General features: G+C 40.2%; 1 annotated feature.

Moving 5' to 3' along the window:
• Window positions 208-866: an enhancer, noted in NCBI's record as "H3K27ac hESC enhancer chr5:116338055-116338713 (GRCh37/hg19 assembly coordinates)". NCBI's record gives its function as "activates a minimal SCP1, AML or CMV promoter by ChIP-STARR-seq in primed H9 embryonic stem cells {active_cell/tissue: H9 hESC(primed)}" and the evidence as "EXISTENCE:reporter gene assay evidence [ECO:0000049][PMID:30033119]".

Genomic DNA, 9,047 nt, shown 5'->3' with positions numbered 1-9,047 from the left:
CCATGTGGAAGTCAGTGTGGTGATTCCTCAAAGACCTAAGACAGAAATATCATTCAACCCAGCAATTCCATTACTGGGTATATACCAAAAGGAATATAAAACACTCTATTGAGCTGCTTAGGAGGCTGAGGTGAGAGAATCACTTGAGCCCAGGAGGTTGAGGTTCAGATCTCACCACCGCATTCCAGCCTAGATGATATTATTATTCTACTCACTAGACCACCAGGGAAGGCAAAGATTATGAAACCTAAATGGCTAACAAACATGTTAGAAGGTATTCAGTCTCGTCCCTCTCCCTCTCCCTCCCTCTCCCTCTCCCCCCTCTCCCTCTCCCTCTCTTTCCACGGTCTCCCACTGATGCCAAGCCGAAGCTGGACTGTGCTGCTGCCATCTCGGTCACTGCAGCCTCCCTGCCTGATTCCCCTGCCTCAGCCTGCCGAGTGCCTGCGATTGCAGGCGCGCACCACCACGCCTGACTGGTTTTCGTATTTTTTTGGTGGAGACGGGGTTTCGCTGTGTTGGCCGGGCTGGTCTCCAGCTCCTAACTGCGAGTGATCCGCCAGCCTCAGCCTCCCTAGGTGCCGGGATTGCAGACGGAGTCTGGTTCACTCAGTGCTCAATGGTGCCCAGGCTGGAGTGCAGTGGCGTGATCTCGGCTCGCTACAACCTCCACCTCCCAGCCGCCTGCCTTGGCCTCCCAAAGTGCCGAGATTGCAGCCTCTGCCCGGCCGCCACCCCGTCTGGGAAGTGAGGAGCTTCTCTGCCTGGCCGCCCATCATCTGGGACGTGAGGAGCCCCTCTGCCTGGCTACCCAGTCTGGAAAGTGAGGAGCGTCTCTGCCCGGCCGCCATCCCATCTAGGAAGTGAGGAGCGCCTCTGCCCGGCCGCCCCTACTGGGAAGTGAGGAGCCCCTCTGCCCAGCCACCACCCCGTCTGGGAGGTGTACCCAGCAGCTCATTGAGAATGGGCCATGATGACAATGGCGGTTTTGTGGAATAGAAAGTGGGGAAAGGCGGGGAAAGGATTGAGAAATCAGATGGTTGCCATGTCTGTGTAGAAAGAGGTAGACATGGGAGACTTTTCATTTTGTTCTGTACTAAGAAAAATTCTTCTGCCTTGTGATCCTGTTGATGGGTGACCCTACCCCCAACCCTGTGCTCTCTGAAACATGTGCTGTGTCCACTCAGGGTTAAATGGATTAAGGGTGGTGCAAGATGTGCTTTGTTAAACAGATGCTTGAAGGCAGCATGCTCGTTAAGAGTCATCACCACTCCCTAATCTCAAGTACCCAGGGACACAAACACTGCGGAAGGCTGCAGGGTCCTCTGCCTAGGAAAACCAGAGACCTTTGTTCACTTGTTTATCTGCTGACCCTCCCTCCACTGTTGTCCTATGACCCTGCCAAATCCCCCTCTGTGAGAAACACCCAAGAATGATCAATAAAAAAAAAAAAAAAAAAAAAAAAAAAAAAAAACACTCTATTATAAAGACACATGTATGTGTATATTCGTTGCAGCGCTATTCACAATAGCAAAGACATGGAATCAACTTATATGCCCATCAATAATAGACTGGACAAAGAAAATGTGGCACATATAAACCATGGAATACTACGCAGCCATTAAAAGGCATGAGATCATGGCCTTTGCAGGGACATGGATGGAGCTGGAGGCCATTATCCTTAGCCAACTAATGTAGAAAGAGAAAACCAAATACCACATATTCTCATTTATAAGTGGGAGCTAAATGATGAGAACACATGGACACATATTGGGGAACAATACACACTGGGGCCTATCAAAGGATGGAGGGTGGGAGGAGGGAGAGGGTGAGGAAAAATAAGTTATGGGTACTAGGCTTAATACCTGGGTGACAATTTATAATCTATACAACAAACCCCCATGACACGAGTTTATCTATATAACAAACCTGCACATGTACCCCTGAACTTAAAATAAAGGTTAAAAAAGACGGCTATCCACAGAAATGACTTTCTCATTTCTGTTAAAAATCAATTGTCTATATATGCATGGGAACATTTCTAGACCCTCTGTTTTGTTTCATTCATCTATTTGTTTATTTTTACACAATATGCTGCACTCTTTTGTTTATTCTAGATTTGTATGTATTTAAATCAGGAAGAACCAGCCCTCCATCTTTGTTTTAGTTAATGTTTTTTGGGATACTTTATGTTCTTTGCATTTCCATATGAATTTTTAAATTAGCTTGTCAATTTTTAGAAAATACACTGCTGGGCCGGGCGCAGTGGCTCACGCCTGTAATCCCAGCACTTTGGGAGGCCAAGGGGCGGATCACCTGAGGTCGGGAGTTCAAGACCAGCCTGACCAACATGGAGAAACCCCATCTGTACTAAAAATACAAAATTAGCCAGGGTGGTGGTGCATGCCTGTAATCCCAGCTACTCAGGAGGCTGAGGCAGGAGAATCGCTTGAACCTGGGAGGTGGAGGTTGCGGTGAGCCGAGATTGTGCCATTGCACTCTAGCCTGGGCAACAAGTCAATACTTAATAGTATTGACTCTTTTGACCTATGATTCTACTAAATAGTTTAATTTCTCTCAGCACTCTTCTGTAGTTTTTAGTACACAGGTTTTTCACATTTTTGTTGAATTTGTTCCCATCATATTTTTGATGCTATATTTTATTTTAAATTTCAATTTTTTTTGTGACTAATATATAGAAACACAATTGGTTTTTATATATGGATCTTGTCAACTTTCTAAACTCATTTTTTTTAGTTCTAGTGGTTCTGTGTAGATTCCAATTAACTTTCTAAACTCATTTTTTTTAGTTCTAGTGGTTCTGTGTAGATTCCACTTAACTTTCTAGATATATGACAATGTCATCCGTGAACAAAGACACTTTTGTTTCTACATCTTCAATCTGGATGTTTTAAAATTCATTTTTATTGCCTGATTGCACTGGCTGGAACCCACAGTACAGTGTTGATTAGAAGTAGTAATAGCAATAGCAGACATCTTTGCCTTTTTCTCTGATCTTGGGAGGAAATCACTCAGCTTTTCACAGTTATGTATAATGTTAGCCAGTTTTGATGTTGTTTTTGTAGATGTCTTTTATCTGGTTGAGAAAGATCTATTCCTAGTTTGCTCAGAGTTTTTTGTTTGTTGTTTTGTTTTTAATCAGAAATAAGTGATAGATTTTTGTCAAATGCTTTTTCTGCATATACCAAGATAATATTTTCTTTTAATTTTTTTCCAGCATTTTAATATGGTGAAATACATTGATTGATTTGTTAATGTTAAACCAAACCTGAATTCCTGGTATAAAATTCACTTTGTCATAATGTATTGTGCTTTTTATATATTGTTGGATATGATTTGCTAAAAATTTTTTTAGAATGTTTGCATCTATGTTCATGAATTATATTGGTCTATGGTTATCTTCCCTTGCAATGTCCTTGCCTGATATTAGCATCAGGTTAATACTGGCCTCACAGAATGAGCTATGCATGTTTCTTCCTTGTCAATTTTCTGAAAAAGTTTATGTTTAATTGGTATAATTCCTTTCTTAAATACTTGGTAGAATTCACCAGCGAAATGATCTTGGCCTAGGTTTTCCTTTGTAGAAATGTGTTTACTATAAGTTCACTTTCTTAAGTAGATACAAGTCTAACTAGGTTATCTCTTCTCGAGTAAGCTTTGGTAATTTGCGTCTTTCCAGAAATTTGTCTATTTCCTTTAAGTGGTCAAATTCCTTGGTATAAAGTTATTCATAACAGTCACTAATTATCCTTTGATTATTTGTGTAAATGTGTAGTGAAATCACCTCTCTCATTCTTGATGTTGGTAATTTATATCCTGTCTCTTTCTGATCACTGTAGCTAGAGGTCTACTTATTTTACTTATATTCTTAGAAAAATTGGTTCCGTTAATTATCACTATTGCTTTTCCATTTTCAATTTTATTGATTTCAATTTTGATCTCTGTTTTTCTTTCTTATTTTAGATTGAATTTACTTTTCATTTTCTAGTTTCTTAAGGTGGAAGTTGAGGTCATTACTATGAGCTCTTTCTTCATTTCTAATGTAAGCATTTAGGCAATAATTACTAACTCGTCCACCCGAAGTACAGTTTTAGTGGCATCAAACAAATTCCAACATATTATCTTTTTATTTTATTAAGTTCAAAATGTTTTGTATTTTATTTTCATCTTTTCTTTCACCTATGAGTTTTTTAGTAGTGTGTTGTTTAGTTTCTGAATACTTACAGATTCTCTAGAGAACTTTCTGCTATGCGTTCTTTTTGTAATTTCATTGTGGCTCATATTTCTATGTGACTTAAATTCTTTTAAATTTATTGATATTTGTTTTTTGATCTAGATTATGGTCTGTCTTAGTAAATGTTTTGTGTACACTTAGGAACAATGTCTCTTCTGCACTTGTGTGGAGTATTTTGTGACATCACTAATATCATTTAGATAAAATTAGTTGACAGGCCTGTTCTTACTGATTTTCTGTCTAGTTTTCTTATTAATTATTGAGAGTGAAATATTAAAATTTCTGACTACAGTTATTGAAATTTACATATTCCTCCTTATATTTGAATCAGTTTTTGCTTAATTAATTTTGAATATCTAATATTAGATGCATCAACATTTAGGGCTTTTATGTCTTCTTGATGAGTTGATCTCTTTATCATTATGAAACTACATTCTTTGCCCCGATAATATTCTTTTCAATGATATCTACCTTGATACTAACATAAAAAGAGATACTAACTCTTTTTATTTAATTTGATATTAATATCGGTAGGGCAGGGAAAGCAAAACCTGCCCACGCACACACGAGCCAGCAAAGCGATGTAGAAGGTTGCCATGGGCCCAGGGAAGTTGCAGTGAGTGGAGGGAGTAAGCAGGCTGGTGCGTGGCTGTGAGGGGCCACCCCGCTGGAGCCCTCTGTCAGCCAGGCATGTTCCACCAGCACAGGAGCTATGGTACAGGTCACCAGGGCACCTGAGGCTGCCCTGAAAGCAGGCACAGCCAGGTTGAAGCCCCAGAAGGGGTCAGTCGACCCCTCAGGTCGGACCAGCCCCGTCTGATGGTCAAGACCGCGCTGTAGAGTTAGGCCCCACTGTTCCCCTAGGGCTAAAGTCTCGTATGGGAGCCAAAGAGAGCCTAGAGGGGTGGCCGTCCCTGGCCATGTCTGCTACAGACGCTCAGCACCAAACGCTCTAGGTTCCGCATCAGCTGGTGTGCTGCCCCTACCACTTCTCGAAGCAGCTCTCCCTGACAACTTAAGTGTCCATGGTGTGGAAGGGTCTCCTGCTATTGTGATTCCAGAAGCCCGTAGTGAGAGCGGGTTGCTAATTTCCGGATCAACTCATCCGTTCTCCCAGGAGTAGTCGTTGGATGTCAGGAAGGAGTCCAGGTGCACAGTAGGGCTCTGCAGGGTACCCAGATTCTTCCTTGAGCTCAGCTTGTGTCTTCCCTCCGTCCACTGTCACTGTCTTCCGGAGATCTATTAGGAGTGTGCCAGTTGTCCGGGTCCCTCGGTGGCAGCTGCATCTAGTCAGCCATCTTCTGCATCTAGTCCGCTATCATCTAGTCTTTTTTTTTTTTTTTTTTTTTTTTGACGGAGTCTCACTGTGTCGCCCAGGCTGGAGTACAGTGGTGTGATCTCGGCTTACTGAAACCTCCGTCCCCTGGGTTCAAGCGATTTTCCTGCCTCAGCTTCCGGAGTAGCTGGGATTACAGGTGCCTGCCACTGCGCCCGGCAAATTTTTGTATTTTTTGTAGAGACCGGGGTTTCACCATCTTGGCCAGGGTGGTCTTGAACTCCTGACCTCGTGATCCACCCGCCTTAGCCTCCCAAAGTGCTGGCATTACAGGAGTGAGCCACTGCTCCCGGCCTCATCTAGTCTTTTTAACAAATGGTGAGGAAACTATTAAATATCCACATGCCAAAAAAAGAAAAAGAAAAAAAACAACTATCCATACTTCACACCATATATAAATATTAACTCAAAATGGATCACAGATCTAAATATAAAACCTAAAATCATAAAACTTCTAGAAGAAAGCATGAGAAAAGTCTCTGTGACCTTAGGCTAGGTAAAGATTTCTTAAATAAAACATCTGAAGTATAATCCATAAGGAATATAACAGTAAATCGGACTTCATCAAAATTTAAAACTCCTGGTCTCAAAATTAAAAAAAAAAAAGTTAAGAAAATAAACAAACTACAGGCTAGAATAAAATATTTACAAATCATATATCTGGCAAAGGACTTGTATTCAGATATAAAGAACTCTCAAAACCCAACAATAAGAAAACAAACAGCCAAATAAAAATAAGCAAAGATTTGAATAGAGACTTTACCAAAATATATATATATACATATATATATATACATTTATATACACAGATGGAAAATACACACAGTAAAACATGTTCAACATTATTAGTAATGAATAACATGGAAATTAAAACTATAATGAGATACCACTGCACAAAGTAGTGTGTAACATGGTGAAAATTTAAAAGACTGACCATACCAAGCATTGGTAAGGTTGTGGAGGAGCTGAAACTCTCATACACTGATGATGGGAATAAAAAAAAAATGGATCTATCAACTGGAAAGCTATTTAGCAGTTTCTTGTCAAGTTAGACATACACCTACTCTATAAGCCAATTATTTCTCTCCTGGGCATTTATCTAAAAATAAAGAACGAGTATGGCGAAACAAAGTCTTGCACATGAAAGTCCATTGAAGCTTTGTTTATAATAGCCCCAAACTGGAAAAATCCAAATGCACATCAACAGGTAGATAAATAAACAAATCTTGGTATAGTCATACAATGGATTATTGCCCAGTAATAAAAAATAAAAGTAATAAAATTAAAAAGCTATGTTACATGCAACAACATGGATGACTCTCAAAATAACTATAGTGAATTAAAGAATCCAGAAAAAAAAAAAAGTACATACCCTATGATTCCACCTATGTGAACTCTAGAATGAGGGTTAATAGACTTTTTCTGTAAAGGGCATGACATTAAATATTTGGAGACCATAGAATTTCTGATGCAACTGCTGGACTCTGGTATTATGGCACAATAGCAGCCATAGACAACACATAAATGAATGAGTGCAGCTGTGTTTCAATAAAACTTTGTTTACAACAACAGGCAGTTGGTCCACAGGCCATGTAGTTTGCCAACTCTTGTCTAGAAAATGCAATTTAATCTACAGTAACAGAAAGCAGACCGGCACTGGCCAGGAAAAAGGTGAGTGACAAGCGGGTAGAAGAGAAGGGGACAAGAGGGAGCTTTTGAGAATAATCCATAAGGTCACTCTTTATTGTGGTGATGGTTTTGCAGGTATATACATAAGTCAAACTTGTCAAATTATGCACTTTAAATATGTGCAGTTTATCGTACATCAGTTATACCTCAAGAAAGCTGGTAACAAAAAGAAAAGAAGTCCAGGGCTATTTTTCATATCCAATTAAAGATTGACAACAGTTGGCATTTTTTATTCAAGCAGCTTCAGCTCTTGTTTTTCTTCTACTATCTAATGTAATGTAGAAATGAATCTCAAATCCAATCACACTTTTTCATACCAAGTTTTTTTTAATGAAGTTCTCATTTGCAGTATGTTAGTCATCACGCTGCAACTCAGAAGGACATTCAGTCACAAACAGAAGTATTTATTATGTAAGAGAGATATTTATGTGTTTACTTGAACTGCACCTGCCAGATACCCCTTCCCTACCCTGTCCCTCACTCTCCTTTCCCCACTTTTGTGTGGCCACACTTGGACTGTGTACAGAAACACAAACAGCTCCAATATTTTCATGGAGCCCTTTACAAATGGGCAAGGGTTATGCTCTACAACTGGAGGCTAGAATGGATGGCAAAGTGGTAGCACCCCTTTGGCCAGGCTCAGGTAGTTTTGGAAGAGCAACGACAGCTGAAGATCGTGGTTTCTGCCATCTATTTAGATCACTGAGCAAGTTTATGAGACCTGAAGCAACCAGCCTGGGACTATGGCTATCCAAGACACAACTAGTTATCCAGGGGACTTAGGTGATCCTCACCCCATCCCTGTTATCCATTCACAACATAACAGGCTGTCCAGCAAACTGTGACATTCTGTTCTAAGGCTGTGTCCTAAAAAGAATTAAGCGTGAGACATACATTCTTTTTTTTTTTTTTTTGAAAGTTCTGGGATACATGTGCAGAACATGCAGGTTTGTTACATAGGTATACATGTGCATTGTTGGTTTCCTGCACCTATCAACCCATCATCTAGGTTTTAAGCCCCACATGCATTAGCTATTTTTCCAAATGCTCTCCCTCCCCTTGCCCCCAGTCCCATGGCAGGCCCTGAAGTGTGATGTTTCCCTCCTTGTGTCCATGTGTTCTCATTGTTCAACTCCCACTTATGAGTGAGAACACATGGTGTTTAGTTTCCTGTTCCTGTGTTAGTTTGCTGAGAATGATGACTTCCAGCTTCATCCATCCTTGACTGTTGGTTAGATTGACTACCAATGGAATTGTCGTTGCCTAATTCTGCCTGGAATGATTTCATTGCAGCCTATTGTGGGGAGTGGTGAGAAACAGGAAAATCCCTTTCCAATTCATTCCAGTGTACACTGCATGGAAACTTGCAAGAATTGATGTGATTTAGTATAAAAGCCCTGGCTGGGGACCCAGATAGACCTGGGTTGGGATCACAGTTCTGCTTCTTACTAGCTGTGTGACTCTAAGGAATTTCTTTAACCTCTCTGTGCTTCAGTTTTCTCATCTTTAAAAGTAGAATAACTACCAGTTTTCTATGAAGATTAAATGAGGTAACGGAAGCAAAGTACTGAATTAAATGTTAGTGATTAATACTATTATCATTTATGAGGCCTCCTTAGAGAAAATGTTCTCTGGTCTCAATAGCAGTAGCAAAAGAGTTTTTCCAAAAGTTGCTTTATTTTTACTTTATGGACCTCATGAGTCTTGTAATTTACTATTTCTTCATTCATGTTGGATTTAATGTGGCCAATATTTAGCAAATGTGCT

The sequence above is a fragment of the Homo sapiens genome, chromosome 5 (assembly GCF_000001405.40).
Source record: "Homo sapiens chromosome 5, GRCh38.p14 Primary Assembly".
NCBI classification, from domain to species: Eukaryota; Metazoa; Chordata; class Mammalia; order Primates; family Hominidae; genus Homo; species Homo sapiens.
Note: the sequence above shows the minus strand (reverse complement) of the source record. Positions and strands in the feature narration are given on the sequence as shown.